At 38.7% G+C, this 27,063-nt stretch overlaps 1 protein-coding gene across 2 annotated transcripts in view; it reads left to right on the forward strand.

Annotated features, from left to right (window-relative positions):
* Positions 1-27,063, forward strand: part of AKAP13 (A-kinase anchoring protein 13) — a 368,756-nt gene that overhangs the window by 157,843 nt on the left and 183,850 nt on the right. For both annotated transcript variants that reach the window (NM_007200.5, NM_006738.6), the window contains exon 5: positions 5,327-5,510. In NM_007200.5, the coding sequence (NP_009131.2) occupies positions 5,327-5,510 (184 nt within the window). The remainder of the gene's footprint in view (positions 1-5,326; positions 5,511-27,063) is intronic.

Genomic DNA, 27,063 nt, shown 5'->3' on the forward strand with positions numbered 1-27,063 from the left:
ATTCAGTTCCCACCTCCTTTCAGAGTGTTTGATAGCTTTTCTTTCTTTTTTTTTTTTTTTTTGAGACGGAGTCTCGCTCTGTCGCCCAGGCTGGAGTGCAGTGGTGTGATCTCAGCTCACTGCAAGCTCCGCCTCCCAGGTTCATGCCATTCTCCTGCCTCAGCCTCCCGAGTAGCCGGGACTACAGACGCCCGCCACCACGCCCAGCTAATTTTTTATATTTTTAGTAGAGACGGGGTTTCACTGTGTTAGCCAGGATGGTCTCGATCTCCTGACCTCGTGATCCTCCCGCCTCGGCCTCCCAAAGTGCTGGGATTACAGGCTTGAGCCACCGCGCCCGGCCTTGATAGCTTTTCATAAATATTTTTTCGTAGCTACATTAGTGTTTGTGTATTTTTTTTTTTTGAGGGAGTCTTGCTCTGTCCCCCAGGCTAGAGTGCAGTGGTGCGATCTCAGCTCACTGCAAGCTCTGCCTCCCAGGTTCACACCATTCTCCTGCCTCAGCCTCTTGAGTAGCTGGGACTACAGGTGCCCGCCACCACGCCAGGCTAATTTTTTGTATTTTTTGGTAGAGACGGGGTTTCACCATGTTAGCCAGGATGGTCTCGATCTCCTGATCTCATGATCCTCCCGCCTCGGCCTCCCAAAGTGCTGGGTTACAGGCATGAGCCACTGTGCCTGGCCTGTGTTTGTGTATTTTTTCAGCTGTCATCACTGCTGAAAAGAAAATAACAACATATTTTAAAACTGCTAGTGGTTTTTTTTTCCCCTTGGCAGAAGATTAATATTTATTGATCCCAAGACTAGTAGTGGTAGGACTTGAGCTCCAAAAGGTTTTGTTGCCTCTGAAACCTTGTTTTTGTTACAAGGTTACAGGTCTCATTTTTCCACAACTGCATTTTCTCACAGTGGCCTGTTCTCCTTCCTTTCACATGCAGCTGAGAATTCCTGCATCATGTGGGACTTTAGGTTTTTTAAGAGGTAGTCCAGAATAGTACAAAGAATGGTGATTTTGGAATCATAGGTATAGATTCAAAGAGTACTGTAAGCTGGGCTTGCTGGGGGGATTGATGGGGTAGGAGAGTAGTCCTTGATTATTGTACTGATCTCAGAACTTAGAACATTTTACTTAGAGAATCTGACCATTTATAAAAGATACAACCCTCTAGCAGGCTCATCATGCTTGAATGCCTACTAGGCACATCAACTTTTTTGCAGATCTGAGGGAAGGTGTGTGACAGGTGTGTCCAGCATATAAGTAAATAGAAAGCAGGATGTGAGACATTTTCTGCCTTCCTTCTCTGTGGGTAGAGGCTAAGCCTACAGAGATCTTTCCAATTAAGTATGGTTAAACAGGATAACCAGCCAACATGGGGTCTATGGAATAACATTACAGCATAAAGAAAAGGGAAAAGTATCATAAGTATTCAGATGGAAGATTTTCTGAGTATGCTTTCTGTAAGAAACAAAAAAATGTAGATGATATTTCCCATTTGCCCTTTAAAGAGCTCAATAAAATCAGGTTTATTATGAAATTAGAGAAGGAGACAGCAAGGAGAAAAGTAGGTTTTATGAGTCAGTGTTCAAGTAGAGAAGCAGAACCACTAAGAGAAATAATATGTTGAGATTTATTACAAGGAATGGCGCCTTTGATTGTGAGGGCTAATAAGTCCAAAATTTGTAGGGCAGGAGGGGGAGGGAAGATCATGGGCAAAAGTCAGTCCACCAACATGGGCCAAAATATCACGTGAGGAAGGGAAGATCGTGGGCAGGATGGAGCTCCACAGGCACAGGCTAGTGCTGTCCTCCACAGGTGGAATGGAATCCCTTCTCTCCAGGGGAAATCTAAGACCTGCTTTCAGAGCCTTCCAGTTGATGCAGTGGGATTATCCTGCCCACATAATCCAGGATAACCTCCCTTATTAGATCAACTGGTTAGGGGCTTTAATTACATCTGCGGCAAAGCTATTATTATGACGACAAGGATGGAAGGGGAGTGAGTTGGCAAAAATGATGCAGCCATCCACAATCCTAAAGCACAGTTAATTCACACTGGGGACAAAGGACTCAGTTGACACTGTAGGAAAGGCCATTAGTGATCTAAAAAAATGAAGTTGAGTAACTCAGATTACAGAGGAGTACTGATGCAGAGAAAAGGGAACAGAGATTGATCCTAAATGATTGAGCTCTGCAGTTTAAACACAAAAGGAAGAAAGCAGTGATGGAAGCTTTCATGCTCTTAAAACAACACAGACTAAAGGAAACTAAATTCATATATTCGTTTATCCCTTTGCACCTTGGCCTCTTCTACAAACCTAATTCACATGACCCCTGAATCAAATAAAAATGTGTGAGAAATTAATGGGAGAATACCTAAAACTGGGGGTATATGCATGCGGTGGACTACTCAGCAGTAAAAGAGAATGTACTACTGCTACATGCAGCAATGTAGATGAATCTCAAACATGCTCATCGAAGAAGCCTTACACAAGAGTGTATATTCTATAATTTCATCTATATGGAGTTGTAGAACAGGCAAAACTAATGTAGGTGAAAAATTCAGAACAATGGTTAACTCTGAATGAGGAGGAGAGGATTAACTGGAAAGTGGCACAAAAGAACTTTTTTGGATATTGGTAATTTTCTATATGTTGGTACAGATTTGGGTTCACGTGTATATGCATTTGTCAAAATTTATCAAATGGGTATACTATACCATATGTATTTCATTGTATATAAATCACCTAAAATTGTAACTACATATTGAATGCTAGTTAATTATATGCATGCTGAAGTATTTTGGGGTGAAGTGGACTGATATCTTCAAGTTATTTTGAAATGCATAAAAATAAGGTGGATCGATGGGGAAATAGAAGGAAGAATCGTTGGATATATATGTGATAAGGCAAATATAGAAAAACATTAATTGTAGGATCTAGGTTGTTGAGTGAGTGTCTGGCTATTTGCTGTGTGATTCTTTGAACTATGTGTATGTTGGAAAAGTTAATAAAATGTTGGAAGAAAACATAAAAAGGTGCTTTTTAAACCACATTAGTTTAGCTTGCTTGTATGATTGCTTGTTTTTGTATTTGTGGTTTTATTTCCTAGCAAAAAGAAACAGGGTGGAGTAATGGAAAAGGTTTTTTGTTTGTTTGTTTGTTTAATGCAAGACAGAAGAACTTTTGATTTTAAATCCTGATCTGACTGTGGGCAAGCTATTAATTCTATGAATCTGCCTTCATTTGCACAATGAAGATAACCAGACCTCATAGGGTTACTGAGAAGATAGAATGGAAAAAGTTGACATAAACTGCCTAGCCCAGTGCATGGTGCATAGCACTACATTGTTTTCTCCTAATCTGTTATCCTCAGAAAGGGTCTACACAAAAGCAGATGTGGTACCAGTTGCTAAGACTTTCAGAAATTGAGAGAGGATGTAGTGCAGAAGTCAGGGCATCAGCTTCTGAGCAGGCGTGTGGCTGTAGTATTGGGATTTCTACTGAAATGCTGAGCTGACTCAGAACAAATAACAAATCAGAAGAGTGGTTGTGGGAGGGTGGTAAAGAGACAGCTGCTTCAAGGTTGGAAATAACTAGCCTCTAAAGAATCAGGTATTTCCTAGTTAGTGCCTCATTAGCTCTTTGTTCTTGATAAGGATGTCAGAACAACTGTAAGGCAAAAGTTAGATGGTGCTATTTGATCTTTTGTGAGGATTCTATTTGTCCTTTTGTCTGGCCTTGCCATCTGCGCAGAGGTGTTGATTATTAAAATTTGTACCTGCACATGTAGTTGTTGCTTCTGGGGCATAATCTTTCCAGCCATGTGCCTCTGGTTAAACACCCTTTAAATCCTGAATTGGTCTATGCATATACAGTTCTGTAGGGAAAATATACAATATGAAAAATTGTGCTTCCAAGGAAATTTACCTTGGAAATAGGGATACCAGACTAATACACAGATGACATTTGGAAACAGTGTAATTCAGTGTAAAATCACAGCTTCAAAAATCTGTTCATTCCTTTGTGATATTCACGTATAGAAGCATTTGAGGACTTCACAGTAAGGAGAAAACCACTGGGGTCCAAAAAGTCCGAGTGCTTAGTGAAGAAGTTTAGACCCGTGGGAGGCCATGAAGAAAGAGATGATAGCTAAGCTGAGGCAGGCACAACTTCAGGGTGCCATTCCCAGCTCCCTGGAGTTAAGTGTAGTACAGCCTTGTGGGGCTATATGTGGCATCCCTGCAAAGACCTCAGCTCCTGTCATCCTAGGTTGGGCACTGAGGACTGCTGAAGGAAGAGAGTATTGCTAGTGAACCTTGAATGTAATTTGATGTCCAAGAGGACAGTGAAGAGAGCCGGGAAACAGAGAGGAACTGGGATTTAATGAATGTCTACTACAGCCAGTCATAATACTAGCATTTCATCTACCTCTTCTCATTTGTTACACCTCTGTGAGTGAGGTGTTGGTATCTCACTTTAGGGATGAAGAAAGTGAAGTTCAGAGATGTTACATGAATCACGCTTGGTCACACAGATGGTAAATGCCAGATTCGAACCCTGATTTGTCTAACTACAAGCCCTTCCTCATTCTGTCACTTTCAGAGTGACTCACTTTACTAAGAGGGAGCCTTTATTTCAAGTTAAATAAACGTTTTCCTTTCTGCAGTTATTAGTGGATTGTCTTAGAGTTAGTCTTCCTTATTGTGCCAGGAGATGCATTTCTTCCTCTCATTAAACAAATAAATAAAGCTGGCAGTGCCAGAAATTTGATTTGCCCTTATTGTGTAGGAATAAAAAGACCCATGTGTACTGAACAAGCAGAACCTGTTTTTAGTGTTTAACTAGCCAACTCCTGTCTGGGTGTTCTTTTAAAAAGTAATTATACCATTTATGATACACCCATTTAAGTCCCAACAGCTATTCCCTCTTGGACCTCATGTTGTGGGGCTGCATTTGCTTCTGTTATTATTATTTGAGTAAAAGAACGTGTGTATGGGTCGCCTTTATATGCCTGCCTGTGAAATTGGTTGAACAAACACTGTGTATTAAGTCAGAATATAGAAATGTCCTGATTCTCTTTTGCAGGACTGTGTTCGATTGAAGATTTTGCTTCCTATACTTTCTATGCTTTTGTAGCTTTGTTTTGCCTTTACTTGAGGGCTGATTCTACCTGGCCACAATAAAGCTGTTCACACTGTATGTTGTAGCTTAACTTTACAATCTTAGGCACTTGGAGGCAGTGGTGTTTACATAACTTGTCTTTATGTTTGTTTGTTTTTTGTTTTTATATTTTCCTCACTTACGTTCATTTTCTCCCCCATTTACAGATGCTGGCCCGCGAGAGACATTGATGCATTTTGCTGTGCGGCTGGGACTGCTGAGGTTGACGTGGTTCCTGTTGCAGAAGCCAGGTGGCCGCGGAGCTCTCAGTATCCACAACCAGGAAGGGGCGACGCCTGTGAGCTTGGCCTTGGAGCGAGGCTATCACAAGCTGCACCAGCTTCTAACCGAGTAAGTGCTCCTTCTGCCTTATTTCCCTCCTCTCATCCCCAGCCCCACCCCCGATTCATAGGAGTACCACCCACTTGGCATCTCATTGTGTGTTTGCCGCAAATTAAAACCTCAGCTCTGTATCTTGCCTTCTGCTGGAGGTTTGTAAGCTTGCTCCTGCTAACCACTTCATTGTCTGAGAGAGAAACGTAAGTCGTGTTAACCATTTTCTCTCTCGTCTGCCTGCCTGCCTTCTTCAATTCTTATCTCTTATATTTTACTATTTTACTCAAAAGTCAGAATGAGCCTTGTCTGTGGAGGTAGCATAACATTACCAATGTATACAGTTTATCCTGGTTTAGTACAAGAGGAAACAGATTTCCTATATCATATATTTTTTTCTGGTATGTCTTTAAGACTTGAAAGAGTTAATTAGAAACCAGTACTTCCATATTATAATTGCATACAGAAAATATTGTAAACAATTAAGTTTTGGATTGAATGTAATTTCTGTGAATAAAATTTGAGAGCAGTGGTTTCTTCATATGAACAGCAATAAAAAGCAACTGAATTGTCCTGGAAATGTGCAGTAGGAAATCCTGTCTGTTTTTGGGCTCAATTATTATATGTCCTGACTCTTTAAAGAGTTCTCTAGAGGAAGGTTGTTAGTCAAAACATTTGAAGAGCGCTCTTTTATTCTTGTATAAATAAAGAAATAAACACACTAGAGCAGCCAAAAGTTTTTATTGGAATGTTTATATAAAGAAGTTTCAAGAATAGTTTCTGTTGTTTAATACATTTTTATTAGTTTTGTGGTTATCATCATTATCTTTTCCACCACATTATCTGAACAAGTATAAACCCATTGGATCTATGTTCTTTAGCAATTGAGGGACCTGTGCAAATTGAGTCAGTATTAGCAAATTCTCAGATATTTTGCTCATGCCAGATTTAATTTAGTTGTGCTTTATGTTTTACCATTTTTAACTGTGTATATAGTCTGGAAGGACCAAAAAGAGACCTCAGAATGTAGTGCTACTTACGGTTATGTAAACAGCTTTTTCTTGATTCACTTGCCAGGCTTATACCTTTCCCCATCACGCTAGACAGACAGTTCTTTGCAGAAAGCTTTCTGATGGGTGCTACAGATACAGTGGTGGTAGGAGGGGCACTTATCTCAAATGAGCTTTGGATACCTGAGCTCTCCTAAGACAGTATTCCAGGGAGTGATACATTCTACTCCTTCACACTTCCCATCTGGCCAATGATTGGATTCATTCTACGGTTAGCCTCATGGCCTCAGGAAGAGAGGCCTTGTTTCAGAAGTTGAAACAGTTAACTCTGCATAACTATTGTGAAGTTCAAATGCATTTCCTCTAAATTTGATTTTTGCTGGGAAGCAGAGTTGGTTAAGGACTGCCATCCAAATGGGGAAATAAAGTGATTACAACAGCTTCATTATATCCTTGGAGGGGATGTCACAAGACTGTTATTGCAGCACAGCTTTAAGGAAACTAGAGTGTGTTTGTTCTTTGACTTTTTTTTGCTTACTTTAAAAGTACTACTTCTGTTACATGTGGGAAAGCCACTTACCTCCTTTTGAAGGGAGATTGGTAAGGGAAAACCAACCTGAGAAATCACCAATAGAGGACCCTGATAGGAGAGGATGAGCACCTTGCTGCAGATCTAGCTCTTAACTTGAATTCTGGGATGTTACTGTTGTGAAGCTTAGAAAAAGTTCTGAGTCATAATTAGCGATTAAAAAATGGAAAGGGGGCGATTGTCCCAAATCACTCAGTGTGAGAGTGATTCTAGTAGAATTTGGTAGAATTTCAGTTGTTAAAGAATCAAGAATGATCATTTTGTTATTGGTTTTCTTTTCTCCTTTCCTTCCCCTTTCTTTTCCTATATACATAACGTAAAAATGGTTAAAATAGTAAATTTTAGGGACAGCATTCAGTAGCATTCAGTACCATCACAACACTCACAGAGTTACGTAACCATCACCACTATTATTTCCAGAACTTTGTCATCACCCAAACTGAACTTCCTTTTCTCCAGCCCCTGATAACCTCTGTTCTCCTTTCTGTCTCTAAGAATTTGCCCATTCTAGGTACCTCATATAAGTGAAATCATGCAACATTTGTCTTTCTGTGTCTGTCTTTTACATAGCTAATGTCCTCAAGGTTCACCCATGTTGTAACGTGTCAGAAAAACAATACGTACTTCAAAATTGCTAAAAAAGAATGTATTTCTCACCACAAAAAAATAAGTAGCTGAGATGATGGATATGTTACTTAGGTTGATTTTATCTTTCTATGGTATATACATAGATTAAAACATCACACTGTACCCCATAAATAAATTTATATAATTGTTGTTACCAAACACACACACACACACACACACACACACACACACACACAGCCAAAAGTGTAAACAACCTAGATGTCCATCACAGATAAATGGACAATGTGGTATATTCATATAACGGAATACTACAGCCTTAAAAAGAAAAGATCATCTTTAACAGATGAAACTGAGATCCAGAGAGACAAAGTGGTTGGATGAAGATAACAAGGTGGTATGACCAGAAATAGAAGCCAAAAGCTGTCCAGAGCTCTTTCCTTCCACTCCTGGGATTCTTAAAAAGTGGCCCAAGAATAGACTTCATGGGGTCTGTATCTCTTGAAATTATAAAGGTTTATGCACATGTTTTTCTGAATAAAGCATTTGTTGGTGAGATTCACGAAGGGGTTTGTAGAAAGTTAAGAATCGCCACAATGTATGATGCTATCTTTCTTTTTTTTTTTTTTTTCTTTTCTTTGAGATGGAGTCTTGCTCTGTAGCCCAGGCTGGAGTGCAGTGGCACGATCTTGTCTCACTGCAGCCTCTGCCTCCCAGGCTCAAGCAATTCTTCTGCCTCAGCCTCCTGAGTAGCTGGGATTACAGGCATGCGCCACCATGTCCGGCTAATTTTTGTATTTTTAGTAGAGACGGGGTTTCACCATGTTGGTCAGGCTGGTCTCGAACTTCTGACCTCGTGATCCACCCACCTCGGCCTCCCAAAGTGCTGGGATTACAGGCGTGAGCCACCGCGCCCAGCCATGATGCTATCTTTCTAATAGTTTGGGTATCTTCTTCCCCACCCTGCTTTTTAAAAATGAAATTGTCCACATATAAGCCGGCCTCTTTTATTGCCTCTTTTCAGTTAGTATGAAATTGAAGTATGGCTATGTATATTTTACATTTATTGAATAACTAGTTGCATTCTACACTTTACTGAAAAGTCAAGCTTATTTAACCCCATTTATAGCCCTTCCCAAGTACATTTGTTGTTTTAATTCCTTGGTGCTTTACCTTGTTTTTTGCTTTTTAATTTTTAAGTGGGGTGTGGGGAGCCTTGTGCTGGTTAGGGCCCAAGTTCTTTTTGTGTTTCTTTGTTCAAGGCTTATTTTGATTGCCAGTCTATTTTGATAAAGCAAGTCTTACTTCTGCGAAAATTATGATTAGCCATTCTTGGACATATAAGGATTCTCTAAGACCTATCCCTTTAGAAAACACTTGAACTTTATTTTAAATCCTACCAGATAGTAATAACTACTCAGGACATTTTTTTTACAGTTTCCCTTTTTTGTAACCCATGATTGTTAACTTTCACTTTGTTCAGTGTTAGGGAAGGCAGAGCTTTTGTTGACTTGCTGTTTCACTTTAGCTTATATTTAGATCTTACATTATGAATATGAATGCATTTGTGATCTGAAAATTCATCTTAAATACATTGTATTTAAGTTTCACTCTAAGTAAATGAAAGAATTCATGTAGGGAGCATAACTCAGTGATTGACATATATGTTATCTCTTATTTCCCTTTCTTTAATTTTCTGTCTTGCCTGAGAAATCTTAGCCCCAGAAGAGTACCCAAAACATGTAGGCCTACTTTTCCTTTAGTTGGACAATCATCTCCTCTGATTTGAAGACCCCACCCATGGTCACCTAACTAGTTAGTAATGGAGAGAATAGGTAAAGACCCCAGTTTGCAGGCTCTTGGTGTCATGAATGCTAGGAAGTGACAATATCAGATGAGCGTGGCATTGTAGTTATCTAAGAAGAAAATATTAGAGCCAGATGTTATTGGATCTGGCTGATCTCTTACTCACACATCTCAAAGTAGAAATCTTGGGACTTGGATCACCCATGTTGGGGGTATGAGGGAGCTTGAGAGTAAGAGGAGGCTCCAGCTAGTGACTAGGTGTGCAAACTTGGAAGTCAAACCTAGGTTTGCATTTTGGCTCTGCCATTTGCAAACTTTCCTTGCTAAGCCTTGATTTCTTCATCTCATAAATAAAGGATATTGCTATTTACTTCCTGGATGATAACCCAGCCTTTAGTGTATGCAATATGAAAAATTAGGGCTTATTTGTCATACAGATTCTGGTTATTTTTGTGGAGCAAATAAAGGTGCATAAATATTTCTTCTTGGAGAAAGATGGTAGTATAGTATGGTAGAACTGCTTACGGATTAAAAGCTTAATAAAAATCTAAGCTTGCCTACTTAGTAGTTAGTGTGACTTGGAAAATGTCACCTATCCACTGAGTCTCATGTTTCCCCTCTCTTAATGATAATACCTGTTCTGCCTACATCACAAGGTTATTTTAACTAAAAAAAGATTGGTGCAAATACTTTGTTAAACTCTAAGATACTCTATTTGAACATTTCTTATATATTAATAATAATAATGACATCAGTAAAATTAGAGTTAACTGATCAATGAAACTCAAATTCCAGTTGATCGGTCTACCAGATATCTTGTTTTGTAATATTTCTTGTAGTTCTCTGTGAATTAAAGTTAGTAGAGAGATTGGAGAATTGTAGTTAGACTGGCTGGTTTTGAATCCAGGGTCTACTTCTGTGAAACTGTATTATTTATCTTGGGTGATTCACTTAACCTCTCCAAACCTCAGTGCCTTTTTTTTTTTTTTTTTTGGTCTCACAAGAAGAAGAAGAGGACTGTCTTCAATGGGTTGCTTTGAGAAATAAACAATTCATGTAGAGAGCATAACTCAGTGATTGACATAAATGTTACCCCCATTTCCCTTTCTTTAATTTTCTTTTCCTTCTAATGCCTATGTCAGTTTTTCATACTTCAGGGAAATTTTACCAGAATCTTGAAGTATTTTAAGCATCATTTGAATGTCCCTACTTGATGTAGGACTTGATGTAGGGACTTGATGTAGGTTGGAAATTATTCCCTAGTGTAATAGATACTACTTTAAATAAAATTAGTTTGGCCCTTTGATACATGCTGTGATGTTGATGCCTGTAGATTAATGGAACAAGGAATTCTAGATGGATAAAAAATCATTTACAGTCCTTCCACCCTTATAAGAAGAGTATTTATTTTAAGAATTTCAACTCTGGAGTGGTGGCATACAAGTGCTGAAATATTTCAGTTGCCATAAGAGCCAGTTTAAACATATTTGTCCTCATAAATGTCATCTTATTTTTAGTATCAGCTGAACAAATCTTCATTTATTGAATGCCTATACTGCACTAGAAACCATGGTTGGTACATTACAGATATTGTTTCATTTCAACCTTATATCAACCTCGTGAAATAGGCATTATCTGTGTTTTGCGGGAGAAATATGGAGGCTCAGATAATTAAAGTAACTAGTCCAAGGCTATATAGAAAATTGTAGAGCTACTGTTACACAGACAGCTGTGGAATGCCAAGGCCCATATTCTTCCCTCTACAAAAATTTGGCAGAGAGAAAGAAGAGACTCAGGACGAGGCTACTAGGGTACAGTATTAAATGACTCTTAAATGTAAAGGGTTATATGGTTTCTAGTCTATATGTTTTTTGAGGAAAACAAGGTTCTTACTATAATAACTGTACATTTATATTACCCATTATATGACTTTTAAAGTATGGTTGATTACATTTAAGCTACCATTTTACATATGGTAAGTATTGTCATCTCTGATTGATTGATTGATTGAGACAGACTATTGCTGTCACCCAGGCTGGAGTGCAGTGGCATGATTCCGGCTCACTGCAGCCTCCACCTCCCAGGTTCAAGTGATTCTCCTGCCTTAGCCTCCCGAGTATCTGGGATTACAGGTGCACGCCACCACGCCCGGCTTATTTTTGAATTTTTAGTAGAGACGGGGTTTCACCGTGTCGGTCAGGCTGGTCTCGATTTCGTGACCTCGTGATCCGCCTGCCTTGGCCTCCCAAAGTGCTGGGATTACAGACGTGAGCCACTGCACCTGGCCATCTCTGTTTTATAATTGAGGAAACTGAGGCCAGAGAGGTAAAGTGACTTGCCCAAGGTCTCGGTTCACAAGGTTGCAAAGTAACAGAACCTAAAGTGCACCGATCTGTCCAGATTGAGGGGACACATGTGAATGTTGAACACAGACCCAGCCTGACAAGCTCTAGGTACTCAGTCATGATTTACTGTAGTGGGCACTATTGGCCCCTCTCAAAGGGTTTGTGCCTGTAAGCTCTCAAGTCCTTCTTACAAGACACTTGCGCTTGAAACCTAGGTGTAGGGTTAGGTGGTGGAGTGACTACTCAAGAATACATATTTCACAATGGAACCAAGTGCTATTGAGCAAGATGTTCTGCCAACATAGTAATTTTGCCCTTTTAGATTCCTCTTCAGGTACTTGACAAGTGGGTCCTCAGTAGCCCATCTGGTGCAAAACAAGTTTGGAGACTTTGCTTTTGCATAGTAAAGCAAAAGATGAAACAAATGTACAGACATACCTTAAAAATAATAACCAGAGAGGCAGGATTTGGGATAACTTGACATCTGGCCAAATTCCCATTCATCAGTCTGTCCATCCCTTTGTATCTGACTTCCTTTGTCATTGTGTGATCTAGGTCTTTGTGTCTTGGTAAAGATAAGGTTGTAGAACTGAGTGGAAACTAGAGAATGGGGGAGGAGACTAACATTTATTGAATATTGAATACCTGCTTTGTATTATGCACAGTACTACCTTGGTGCTTTACTTGCGTTTTCATTTAAAACCCCTCAGCAAACCTCGGGGAGGCTAAAGCAGCTTGTCCAAGGCCGTATAGTTAGTCGCTCTTTTCACAACCTGTCTTTAGGTTGTATTTGGATTTATTCATAGAATTTTGTGAGGAGGCATGTTTGGTAGCATTTTCAGGCTTTTAACCTAATTAATTTATGATGGTTAATAACTCTGGTTCTCAGTGCCTTTTTTTCCCCCTAAGTTTTCAGCTGGACAACTTTAAGCATTTTGACATTTTGTATTTTTTAAACCATTTAACTAGTAATCTCAGGATTGCCTATCTGGCAACATGCTAGAAAATTGCAAAATGTACTTTCTGAAGATAATATTGTACTTATAGAGCAATTTATTGTATTCGTTGCTAGGTATTTTGTGTAAATTCTCATATCTTTATCCTCTCCCCAGCCCTTTGAAGGTGGGCGTTTTATCTCCATTGCACAAGGAAATGTAATAGCCATAGCTGGTAAGTGATGGAGGAATAATTTGAACCAGGTTGTAACTCCAAGTCCTGTGAACTTTTACAAACTCCCTTGGGCTTTCTAAGAAGATGGGTAGGAATTTAAAGTTGGTTGGAATCACAGAGCCATTCCAAGCATCTTGTGTTTCTATAAACTTCTTTTCTCTCCCTGCAGAATGACACATATGTACTGAGCAAGGTATGTGTTTGTTCTTGGTTGCCGTATAACATTTAGACTTCAGAGTGGTCAGAGTTGTGAAATTACACTACTTGATCTGTGGTAACAAATTATCTATGGCAACAGCATGTGATTTGTTTCTGACTTCACTTCAGGCTTAAGTGGAAGAAAATACAGACCTGGAGTATAGGGCTTGATAGTCAGGTGTGAGAAAATGAAGGATCAGTTGATAGCACCTTCTGCTCTTAAAAGCTACATGTGATTTTTACTTGGTCAATTCTAAAGTTTTCTTAAACGCATACCAATAGAAAGAATGACTTGAACATTTTACCTGCATTTATTATTGGCAGAAATAGAAGTGATTGGGGAAACAAGGAAAGTGATTAGAGAAACAAGAAAAAAACTAGGTGTGTTGAATAAACATTTTCACTAAAACCATTATTTGGCTGGAGCAGAATATCACCAGCATAGAATGAAGTTACGCGATACAAGAATAAATATGAGGTAGTAAAAAAATACAACCAATCCTATGCATTTATTAATATCTGCCTGTTCTGTTTTGAAAGTTTAACCTTATAGTAGGAGAACAGTTTCTCAGCATTACCAACTTCTAGATTGTTCTTGATTCATTAAACAGCATATACAACTTGTCCTGGCACATCAGTAAGACCTCTATCTAGTTGAACTACAGACAGTTATAATTCAGGGAAGTTTTTCAGTAACATGTTCTAGAAGGAATTTTGTGTTAGGATTCTGGATTTAATGAATCACAAAAATCTTTTAGCTGCTGAAATTGGTTATCATTGTATAATAATCATTTTGACAAGGTTTTGTTTAAATCTTTAATGTCCATAGACATAAATAAGGCGCAGTATTCTTAAGTATTCTTCTTAAAGCCTATTTTGTTTTATTAATGAAAACAAAATGTATTTGAGGTACCTGATATTTTTCCTAACACTTTTAAAAATACATTTATATCAGGATTGAGGATAATTTATCATCGTTTTTTTGGCCTTTTTTTTTTTTTTTTTGAGACGGAGTCTCGTTCTGTCACCCAGGCTGAAGTGCAGTGGTGCGATCTCAGCTCACTGCAACCTCCGCCTCCCGGGTTCAAGTGATTCTTTTGCCTCAGCCTCCTGAGTGGCTGGAACTACAGGCGTGTGCCACCATGCCCGGCTAATTTTTTTGTATGTTTTTTCACCGTGTTAGCCAGGATGGATTTATCATAGTTTTTATACATGATTTTGGCCATTTTTTCTTACAAAATTTGGAGATGGCAATGTTGACATTCTGCTCTTAATTTTATTCTTATGTGAATGATTTTCAAATTGAACTTACCCTAGAAAGACACATGGCCTAAATGGAATATCTACAATTTAAAAAATTGTTTTATTTAATGTTTAGTGTTCTGAACACTAGTTAATAAAAAGTTAAATCTAGAGTTTTAATATAATCTAACATCTGTAATTCTTTTTTTTTTTTTTTTTTGGAGACGGAGTTTCGCTCTTTTTGCCCAATTTGGAGTGCAATGGCGCGATCTCAGCTCACTGCAACCTCCACCTCCCAGATGCAAACAATTCTCCTGCCTTGGCCTCCTGAGTAGCTGGGATTACGGGCACTCGCCACCATGCCCAGCCAATTTTTTGTAGTTTTAGTAGAAACAGGGTTTCACCATATTAACCAGGCTGGTCTTGAACTCCTGACCTCAGGTGATCCGCCTGCCTCGGCCTCCCAAAGTGCTGGGATTACAGGCATGAGCCACCGTGCCTGGCCTAACATCTGTAATTCTTATACCATTTAAATTTTAATAAATATTTGTTGGCTTAATAAAGATAAAATGTTCTTCCTAAGGTTATCTAGCCGGTGCACTATCTCTTAATATTCATTTTAACTGTCAAACTATTTATCCATTTGAAAACTCTTTAGTTGTTTTTGCATATGACATTAACAGTTTCTATAGTCACTGATTATTGTACCATTTTATTCTTATAGTACATATTTTATGCTTTAACTGGCCAATAGAATTTCTGCATAAAAAGCACATAAGGAGATTTGTACTTTAAATCAGGGGTCCCCACCGCCTAGGCTACAGACTGGTACTGGTCCATGGACTGTTAGGACCCAGGTTGCACAGCAAGAGGTGAGTGTCAGGCGGGCGAGCGAGCATTACCACCTGAGCTTGCCTACTGTCCAGTCAGTGGTGACATTAGATTCTCATAGGAGTGGAAACCGTATCGTGAACTGCATATGTGAGGGATCTAGGTTGCATGCTTCTTATGAGAATCTAATGCCTGATGATCTGAGGTGGAACAGTTTCATCCCAGAACCATTCCATACCCCGCCCCCTCATCTGTGGAAAAATTGCCTTCCGTGAAACTGGTCCTTGGTGCGAAAAATGCTGGGGACCGCTGGTTTAGATTATGTAGAGAATGCTTACATAGTACTCTTTATTTTAATAGTATTTCTTGTATTGGTGGTGCTGCCTCACTGATAGTGATGGTAGCCCTGTAATCACTTAATCCTTGTTCAGCAGGCATCCATCTCTTTGGCCTTAAAAATGGCAAAGCTGAACTTGGTGTGTCCCTATTGTTTAACATCTCTTATAGGCCTCAGTTTCTTCATCTACAAAATAGGGAAAAATAATATGTACCTCATAGATCTGTTAGGATTAAACAAGAACATGTTTATAAAGTTCTTAGGAGCTTAGATATCTCTTTATTTGGAGAGCTAGGAAGGACAATTCATTGGAAATATTTCAGGTGCGTATGAATATGATATCTCTTTTAACCACCATTCAGTTTCTGACTTACTGTTTCCTAGTCAGCCTCACCCCACAATTGTAACTATCTCTTAACCTAGTGGGGAAACCAAGCCCCATTTTCCTTACAGAATTTTGGAGGGTAAATTGTGGTAGGTGTTGTAGGGGTAGTTGCTTGACACTTACCCCACAAGCAGGCTTCCCTTACTTTTTTTTCTTTTTTTTTTAAGTCTAATACTCAGAAGTTGCCTTCTTTTTTGGTTCATTAGAATTATACCAGCCCTCTAGCATACCACACAGTCACAATATATCAATCGTTTCGGGTGTCCAGACAGCTAACATTTTGAATTCACATTCATTTAATCCTCATGACAGATTTAGTATTTTCACTTTACAGATGAGGAAATTGAAGCGCAGAGAAATTTAAGTAGTCCAAGATCACAAAGATGGTAAGGTGAGAGTAAGGAATCAAACCAACTCTGTCTGACTTTCCAGCTTATGCTCTAACAATTACCTTATAAAACTTTTTTTGTTTAAAAGCACAAAATTTAGAGCAAATTACTCATAGACAGTAGTTGCTTCAAGGATGTGCCTTCTTTTTCTTTGCACTCTCCTTATGCTAATTATTAAGGCGAGAGTGGCAGTTCTATGTTCCCTCCCCCCCAAAAAAAGGAAGGAAAAGAGGAAAACTAAGTTTCAGTGCTAAAATATCTTGTGGCCCTGGGTATGCAGGATTGCATATCTGACCATAACTAGCCTAGCAGCGAGTTCCCTACGGATAGCTAAAATACATCATTTTGAGGTGGATTAGCTACCCCCCACCCCCTACCCCTTTCTGGCATTTAGCTTCTCCAGCTCCATTTGAGTAGAGTTGTGGTTGGGTTTGTAGAACTCATTAAGGTTGGACACTATTATGGTGATGTGGTTTTGAGAAGATATTGCAATAGCCCTCAGAAAAGGAACTAGATGCTGCAGTTCCTTGTCAGAAGTAAACTTGGAGCGAAACACGCCTTTAGGAGGGGTAACCAGGCTGCTTTCCTCTATTTTTAAAGCTGTAGTATGAAGCCAAAACTAAAAGAGGATGGGCTTGCGATATTCGGGGTGCTTGGGCAGCCATGTGTGAGTATCAGCTTCCAGACCAATGCTTTGTTAATCTTCATTGTTTATTCTCTGACATTTTCTCTGGCTTTTTGCTGTAACTCAACCTGAAGCATCATTGAACTTCCCTGAAGGACTTGTGTTGTTAGGATCAGAAAAGTGTTCTTCTCTGCAGTTAAGTTAATTTGACTGGGTTTTCTATGTATGTTAGCATAAAACCCCATTGTTTTCTTGCGCATGCTAGGCAAGGTAAGAAGGCAGAGACTGATTGGTTGTTGATTATTGCATGGCAGGTAGAATGCTAGAAAATTAGTTGAAACTCATCCTGGGCTTATTGAATTTTGTTGTATCATATACATAAACTGTGGACACTTGGTTTGGATGCTGTAACCTTATCTCTGAGAAATGGCTTCTAATTTGTGTTATTTTGCATTTGAAAAACTTGCTATGGATTTTATAAAACTTATAACAAAAACCCTAATATACTTTATTAGCTTCTGATAAATATTACATCAGACATCCAGTTAGTATAATTTGAATGTGGTTTGAAACTTTTTTAGAGGTAGGTTTCGTTGTGGGTAGTGGAAGGAGGCACATAAGTTTTAGAGTTAGCTCTGAGTACAGATTGTGGCCGTTTCACTTACAGCTGTGAATTCTTGGGGAAATTATTCATTAAGTCTCAGTTTCCACACATGCAACATGGAAATACACTGATACCTGCCTCAGAGTTTTTGTGAGGATTAAAAGTAAATAATAAACCAACAACATAGTCATTTTATTATCGCTATCAAATATGTACCGTACATAATTTTATGTGCTATACTTTTATATGACTGGCAGCACAGTAGGTTTGCTTTCACCAGTATCACTGCAGATATGCAGTGCATTACAACATTATGACAGCCGTAACATCATTGAGTGATAGGAATTTTCCAGCTGCATTATAATCTTACTGGACCATCATTCCATATATGGTCTATCATAGACTGAAACATGGCTAAGTGGCACATGACTGTAGTAAATATTGTTAGCATCCTTCTTTTGTTTTGTCATTTTTGCCTTCCTCCCCCTAGTGTTTTCTCACCCCTCCAAGAATAAAATCCTAGTTCCTACCAGGACTCACAAAGCTCTGTGAAATCTGAACCTGGTGCAACTCTTGAGACTTCATTTCATAACATTTTTCTCATTCCCATAGCTCTGTCTGCACAGCTACACTGGCTGTAACCTCCCTGGCCAGCTCATTGCCACCTCAGGATCTTTGTACTTGCTGTACACATTGCCTGATGTTCTTGTTCCCTAACTCTGCATGCTGGCTCTTTCATACCACTCAGGTCAGTTGTTAGGTCACCTCCTCAGAAAGCTCTTCAGAAGAAGCCGCCATTTCCAGTCGAAGACATTTTCTACCATAAGCACCTGTTTTATTTTCCTTAAGTGAAGATTTGGATTTGCGTTTTAGAATACATACAGAGTAAATAAAAATTCTCTACACAATTTTGCTGTAAACGTCTTCTGGGATTTTTGTGTATACACTTCCTTTTAGAGAATATGTGCATTTGAAGTGGTTTTGTTGTTTAAGGTGTGAGTGTTCAGTCGAATACCTCTTAGTGCCATTTTAAAATGTGATCTAAAGAAACATTTTGCTTTTATCTTTTCTTTCTGCTCATTAATCCACATAAATTACTACACTAAATTGATTTAGAATAAACAGATTGCTTGGAATTAATTTTAAAATTTATTTTTTAGCCCTCATTTCAGCCCTTAGCTCTGTGAAGCCTTGGTTGATTTGCCTAAACGCTATCTATCTGCAGAACCTTGGCCTTGTTACTTGGAAGATTAAATAAGATATTTATGATGAAAATGCTCTGAAAAACTGAATACAGCTTTTTACAATCGTTTTATATTTATTATGTACTGTGATTTGTTCCTGATATTTCACATTTGATTCAGGGAAATCATTTCAACAAATTATAGAGCTTCTTTTGTTGTCGTTTTTGTTAGGTGTGGTTTTTTTTGTGTTTTGTTGTTTGTTTTGAGATAAGGTCTCATTCTGTTGCCCAGGTTGGAGTGCAGTGGCCCAGTCATGGCTCACTGTAGCCTCGACATCCTACCTCAACTTCCGCAGTAGCTGAGACTACAGGCACGCACCACCACTAACTAACGCACCTGGCTAACTTTTGAAAATTTTGTGTAGAGATGAGGTCTTGTATGTTGCCCAGGCTGATCTCAAACTCCTGGACTCAAGTGATTTGCCTGCCTCAGCCTCCTAAAATGCTGGATTACAGGCATGAGCCCCCATGCCCACACGACAGAACCTCTTTAGAACATGACTGTTAAAGCTGATATTTGGATACTTTTGATTTTAATAGCAATAACAACAATAATAAAGACTGGGTGGGACTGAACTTTTAAAATACTCTTGCTATTGTTCAGTTGGTTTTCAGCTTTGCTCAGGCCTATATGAAGTTTACCTTTGGGAGAAAATGAAACCTTGTCCAATGGGTCTATAGCTTATACCACATGCCGTATTCCTATCTATGCTATGCCTCTTATCTCTTCTGCCAGTAGTTTTTCTCCCCAGAATCTGTGCACATTAAATTTCATTTTTCCAGTAGTTCATTTTTAGAATCTTTGCTTCAGTGATGAATTGAAAAGTTAAAAAAAATCTGATCGCTTGTAAGTAATTTGAGAAGTTCTCTGACCCACCTTACCTGTTTATTGTGCAGTGCTATTATGAGGGAGAGTAAATCAATGTTATATGTTTCTGCAAAAGCAGCAAATTACAGGAGAAACATGAGAAAAGTCACATCTAGTTTGTCCAAAAGACATTATCTCTTTATGAGGACCTATTTTATTAATGTAACTGTTTTTAAATAGGATTAATCAACTTTAATTATAACTTATGAAAAGTGCCGAATCAGGTCAGTGGGCTATATAAAAATACGCAAGGTCATTAGAAGCTTATTGGACTTGTTGAGTATGGGTTCTTTTCTTGAATTTTAGTGATGATAACCTCACACATAGTTAAGTGAACTTCGTGCCTGAAGATGGGGGTCCTGCCTAGACAAATGAGCAAAAATGTGTCTTTTTTCCTGAACTGGAAAAGCTAGTTTACAGAGTGATGACTTCTTTGTGATTAAAGTTACCAGTTTCTGTAAGTATGGAACACATCGCTTCTCCATTAAGTTGGAAGCTTGTTAATCAGCTGATTTTAACGTTCACCATTACACTGGAGTTTTGGGTTCATATTTAGTTCTTAATCTTTCTATCATGTTTAAGTTTCTCATGATCTTCAGAAATAAAACTGGAAGAAATGGATGTGCATTCCTTTCTCTCCTGATTCTGTTATTTAAATTGGTAATCCTACAGGGTTTCTGTTTGATTTTGTTTTGTGTTTTTGCCCCACGAGAAAGCTAAAGAAACTTTTTGACATTTTAAAGATGAGTGTGTACTCCTCCCTTCCCTTTCCCCTCCCTCCTCCTCCTCCCTCCCTTTGCCGTCCCCTCCCCCTCATTTCTTGGAAATTTGACTTTTTTTTCTGTCATCGGTTTGAAATTACTTTATTCAGTTATATCATTCTTTCCAAGTTTCAGCTTATTTTGTAAGCAATTCTCTTTTTTCCTGTTCTCATTACCACTGTTGTTGATCTTGGTCAACAGTGGTAATGTTCTCGCTTTGAAAATAATTTTCAGGGGCCTGTGTTTCTCAGCCTCACTAAGTGGCGTGAAGCACTGGTTAAACAGAAGACAGTTAAGTAGCTAGTAAGCCAATAACTGTCATGGAATAGACAGAGACAACACAAGTTCTGACATAGATCAACCTAGTTTGTGTATAAATACAAATTTAAATAATATTTAAATAGAAATCTCTATTTCAGTGGTCCCCAATTTTTTTTGGCACCAGGGACTGGTTTTGTGGAAGACAGTTTTTTCATGGACCTGTGGGAGGAGGGGATGTGATGGTTGAGGGGATGATTCAAGCGCATTACATTTATCATGCACTTTATTTCTGTTATTACTGCACTGTAATATATAATGAAATAATTATACAACTCACCATAATGTAGAGTTAGTGGGAGCCCTGAGCTTGTTTTCCTGCAGCTAAACAGTCCCATCAGGGGGTGATGGGAGACAGTGACAGATCATCAAACATTAGATTCACATAAGGAGCCTAGATCCCTCACATACGCAGTTCACGATAGGGTTCACGCTCCTGTGAGAATCTAGTGCCACCGTTGATCCGACAGGAGGCGGAATTCAGGTGGTAATGCAAGCAGTGGGGAGCAGCTGTAAATACAGATGAAGCTTCACTCTCTAGCCTGCACTTACTTCCTACTGTGTGGCCTAACACGCCATAGACTGGTACTGGTTTGTGGCATGGGAGTTGGGGACCCCTGCTTTATTTAATCACTTATAACTTATAATCACTTAGATGCTCTAAGTCATCTGGGGGGTGAGAAGGTTGGAAAAGAAAAAGTACATTAGTGAGTGAGTAAAGATTATCTGGGATTGTTTCTTAGATGAGGATCTATTTGATGTTGGTGTTGGTCTACTGTGAACTAAATATAACTGCATTGGAGCCTAAGCGCAGATGTCTGCGTCATGGTTTATTACTCCTGTGTTCGTTTCAAGGAGCTCCTGTGATACCTGCTGTCTCCACCTAAAAAAAAAAAAAAAAAAAAAAAAAAAAACAGTAAAAATAAAATAATCAATTAATTCTTCCTCTTGCTGGTCTGTCACTCAGTCTAGAGTGCTGTGGTGAGACCATAGCTCACTGCAGCCTTGACCACTCGCCTCAGCCTCCCATGTAGCTAGGACTACAGGTGTGCACCACCAGGCCGGGCTAATTTTTTTTTGCAAAGAGTGGGGGTGGTCTCCCTGTTTTGCCCAGCCTGGTCTTGAACTCTTAGCCTCAAGCAATCTTCTCACCTCAGCCTCCCAAAGTGCTGGGAACACAGGTGTGAGTCACTGCACCCAGCCTATTTATTTATTTTTAATAATTAAGTTGTACATAATAATATTCATGATGCACCTGCATAAGACAGGTTTATTTTATTATCAGATATTACCTCCCATATTGTATGGAATTTTTAATAACAGTTGTAGCTGATGCTCCATTTTGTAGTCTGATAGTTTCACTTTGTCATATTTTTATCTATTTCTATGGTCTTTATAAATATTTTTGAGGCCCTCTTTTATTATGAGTAAATTATTCAACTAATATTGAATATCAATTTCTGATTTTTAAAAAAATTAAAACTAGTGAGTGCTAGAGTGAGCCTTATCTTTTACCTACTGATTTTTTGCTTCTGTTAAATTATTTCCTTAGGCTAAATTTCAAGGAATTGTATAATTAGGTCAAAGGAAATGATGTTTGCAACTCCCATATTCATTGCAATGTGGCCAGTATTAACTCTGCTTTTCTTTTTTAAGTAACTGCCACCTGTAGGTTACTTTAATGCAGTGTTTTACAACCTTGGCTGCACATTAAAGTCTCTGCAGGAGCTTTAAAAAACACTCATGCCTGAGGACCACCTCTAGAGATTTTGATTTGATAGATGTGATATGCCATCTGGATGTAAGGATTTTTTTTTTTTTTTTTTTTTTTTTAAGACGGAGTTTGACTCGCCGCCCAGGCTGGAGTGCAACGGCGCAATCTCGGCTCACTGCAACCTCCGCCCCCCAGGTTCAAGTGATTCTCCTGCCTCAGCCTCCCAAGTAGCTGGGATTACAGGCGCCCGCCACCACACCTGGCTAATTTTTGTATTTTTAGTAGAGACGGGGTTTCACCGCATTGGCCAGGCTGGTCTCGAACTCCTGACCTCAGGTGATCCACCTGCCTTGGCCTCCCAAAGTGCTGGGATTACAGGCGTGAGCCACCATGCCCAGCCTCTGGACATAAGGATTTTTAAAAGCTCTCCAGGCAATTTCAAAGTGCAGCTAAGGTTAAAAGGTTACTTTAGTGAGATTGAGCTTAACATTGCATCTGAAAATTGATTTATTTGTTGAATCAGGTTGGTGGCTTAAATCTGATTCAGTAAGAGGAACCAACTAAATACTTTGATCACATCAATAAATTTATACGTCTGTCTAGTATAAAATTGATTTAACTTTAATTTTTACTAATCTTGTGAATGTTGGTATATTAGATATCGATGCATCTATAACTAATACAGTGGCAGTATGCTGAAAATCACTTTTTTCGAGATCTTGAAACCAGTACAGTAAGGTAGGACTAAAAAATACAACTTTGGCTATTGGAGTGATGTAGTATTCCAGAAGTTATGGACTCATTGAGAAAGGGAGTGAAGTAGCCCCTCAGGATGAAAAGCAAGAGAAAAATGACCATAGACGCCATGGACTACTAACTTCTGTACCCATATCCATAGTACGCAATGATCTAGAACTTGCACACTAGTCTCTCAAAATGTGTATTTTTAAAATTATTTATATTTTTAGTTTCGTCTGTCTGCATTCTCTGCTACAAAATAGGCAGCAGAGGTAGGTTTGTGTTTTGGTTTAGATTGTTGATCCAAATGCTGGCTGGCTCCATTACTTAGTAGCTGTTAGGCAAGTTACTACATTTCTCACAACTTCAGTTTCCTGACCTGCAAATTACGGTAATAATATTCTCCTTCACAGAATGATTACGAGAGTAAATGAGATGATGTGTACCAAATGCACAGTTCAATATCTGATACATTGTTAAGCAGTTGATAAATATTAACAATAAAAGGAAGTGGTTATGTTGTGGAAATAGAAACCAGTATTTAATGAGTACTTACTAGTAGTATGCATATTAAGAATATATATCTCGGCCGGGCGTGGTGGCTCACACCTGTAATCCCAGCAGTTTGGGAGGCCGAGGCGTGCGGATCACCTGAGGTCAGGAGTTTGAGACCAGTCTGGCCAACATGGCGAAACCCCGTCTCTACTAAAAATACAAAAATTAGCTGGGCGTGGTGGCAAGCGCCTGTAATCCCAGCTACTTGGGAGGCTGAGGTGGGAGAATCGCTTGTACCTGGAAGGTGGTGGTTGCAGTGAGCTGAGATCGTGCCACTGCACTCCATCCTGGGTGACAGAGTGAGAATCTGCCTCAAAAAAAAAAATATATATATATATATATATATATATATATATCTCTGTCCTTATATCTTAATCCTTGAGCCTCTGTAAGAAAACTGCTGTTATCCCACTTTCCTTTTCTTTCTTTTCTTTTCTTTTCTTTTTTTTTTTTTTTTTTTTTGAGACTGAATTTCCCTCTTGTTGCCCACGCTGGAGTGCAATGGCGCGACCTCGGCTCACTCCAACCTCTGCCTCCTGGGTTCAAGCGATTCTCCTGCCTCAGCCTCCTGAGTAGCTGGGATTACAGGCATGCGCCACCACGCCCAGCAGGTTTTTTTTGTTTTTTTTTTTTTTGTATTTTTAGTAGAGATAGGGTTTCACCATATTGGCCAGGCTGGTCTCAAACTCCTGACCTCAGGTGATCCACCTGCTTCGGTCTCCCAAGGTGCTGGGATTACACGTGTGAGCCACTGCACCTGGCCCCCACTTTTCTTTAAACAGATAAAAAACTCTGGCTCATAGAAGCGAAATAATTTGTCTTAGATCAGACCATGGTATAAATGGGATTCTACTCAGACTTTAGCACCTGTACTTTTCCCATACCACACTATGATTTAGCCTCTAGGGAAGTCTCAGTTGAACATAATTAGATGAATTTGTAGTGAATTGGTATTTTTTTCCTCGTAGGAAAAGGTAGGTTGGTGTCAATTTTGTGAACAATATGGTGAGCAATGTGGGCATGCCATTTTCCAGCCTGTCGGAATCAATATTGTCCTTCATTTGAGTAGAATGTGCTTGTTTTTTTTTTTTTTTTTTTTTTTTTAAAGACGGAGAATGAGAATTTGGGCTAGGCAGTTTGTCCAACATTTTGTCAGTCTCTTCAACGCTCACTATTCTGTTGATCAATGTAGCAGATGGTGGACTTTGGAACTTTTTATCAGAGAATGTGTGTTGAGAAATGTTCTACTTGGAAGGAACATTCCTTTGACTCATAAAAAAATTTTTCTCTTAAAGACCTCTTTGCTCCTTGTTGCATTCAAATTACCCTGAATACTTCCTGCTGTGGGCACCGCATGAACTGTTCCTACAAAAGCCAGCCCTTTCCACTTAAAGTAGTGCAGCATTATATAAGGGGGAGAGCACAGGCTTTGGGAGCAGCCCAACCTGGATTCAAATCTATTACTTGTTAGCAATGTGCTAAGTAAGAGGGTGCTAATATTTATTGACTGCCTACTGTGTGCCAGGCATTATTAAATAATTTATTTACTATCCTCATTAATTTCCACAACAACTTTCTTTGCTTTTTCACAGCAACCTTTTAAAAGGACTGTTACATTTTTTATAGGTCAAGATGCATGCTCAAAGAGGTTAAGTATCTAGCTCAAGTTCTCACTTCTTGTAAGTGGTAAAGTTTGATTTTGAACTGAGGTTTATCAAACTGCTAATGTATGTGGTATACCTTGAACAAATATGTTAATATTTCTGTTCTCAATTTCCTCATCTCTGAAACCGGAATACTACCACTTTGAAGGACTGATAAGAGGATTAAATTAGTGTACTTAAAATTTTCTGTCAGTATCTGTTTAAGTAGATACTCAAATAATACTAGTTTCTTCCCTACCTTTAGTAAGTAATAATAACAGAAGAATGAAGCAATTTTCACCTCTGCCTTTATTAAAATGTTTTACATTTAACTTTGTATTTTGAAAAATTTTGAACTCAGAAAAGATGCAAGAAACGTGCAATGAACTCCTATATATCCTTCATCCAAATTCTCCGATTCTTAACATTGGTTACATTTGCTTTATCTGTGTGTGTATACATATACATATATAGAATTTTACTGAAGTCTTTGAGAGTAAGTTGCAGAATCATGACCTTCTGTTCCTAAATATTTCAGCATATATTTCCTAAGAACAAGGACAGTCAATACAGTAACAGTGCATTTATCAAAATTAGTAATTTATCATTAATACAATAATCTAATATATAGTAGTTTATATTCTACTTTTCACCATCTGCTTAATAGTGTTCTTTTAAGTATTTTTCCTCCTGATCTGGATCACACACTGGATTTAGTTGTCATGTTTAGTCTCCTTTGCCACCTGTGCCTTTTGAGCCATTACTGCCACTACATTGGGTTGTATTAGAATTACTTCCTTAGATTATCTGTCTCTTCAGAGAGTGATGATCTCAAACCATCTTAAACGTTGTGAGTAAAAGAGAAGAATATTTGTACTCTTCTGCCCTGGAGTGAAATCCCAACAAATACTTGAGTAACTGTGTATGTCAAGAGATTGTGCTGAGTGGTGGAGATCAGCAGGTCAGGAGATACACGGTCCTGGTTCTCAATGGGGCTTCCAGATGAGTAAGATTGTTATAGTGCAGTTCAGCAAGTCTTGCTGAGCTCACAAGAGAGACTGCTCCTGGAAGTGTGCTGGAAACTAGATACAATTCAGGGCTCCCAAAGGATGTTTAAAAACAATATTAATTACCTCATGACAGGAAGATTGAAAATTTCAAGGTAATCATATTGTCAGCTTTTCATATCTTAAAGTCTGTTTTGAAATCGGGTTGAATGTGAAAATCTAAGAGACTTTAACACTGTCTGATGTAGTAGTAATGAAACAATGCCTGTACTGCATCATTGCCACAATTGGTGGTAAAGTACCATTTCGTTTATTCAGGGTGATAGTTTCCTCATTGGAATTAAAAAAAAAAATCAGAAGGCAGTAGAAATCTCTATGGACCTTCCTGCAGTATTTATATTCGTTCATCTACAGATCTTTCTTTCACTTGTTTTTTGTCTGGTTTTTTAAAGTGTCAGCTGAGGCTATGGTGCCTCTTAATTCACCAACTGAAACAACCAGAATTTCTAGTGCATTTGGTTATGCTTTCCTGTCCTGCAAGGCCTGATTTGGTTACAATATAATCTTTGTTCACATTTTTCAAGGTAAATTTTAGATACCCAGCCATA

The sequence above is a fragment of the Homo sapiens genome, chromosome 15 (genome assembly GCF_000001405.40).
Source record: "Homo sapiens chromosome 15, GRCh38.p14 Primary Assembly".
Classification (NCBI taxonomy): domain Eukaryota; kingdom Metazoa; phylum Chordata; class Mammalia; order Primates; family Hominidae; genus Homo; species Homo sapiens.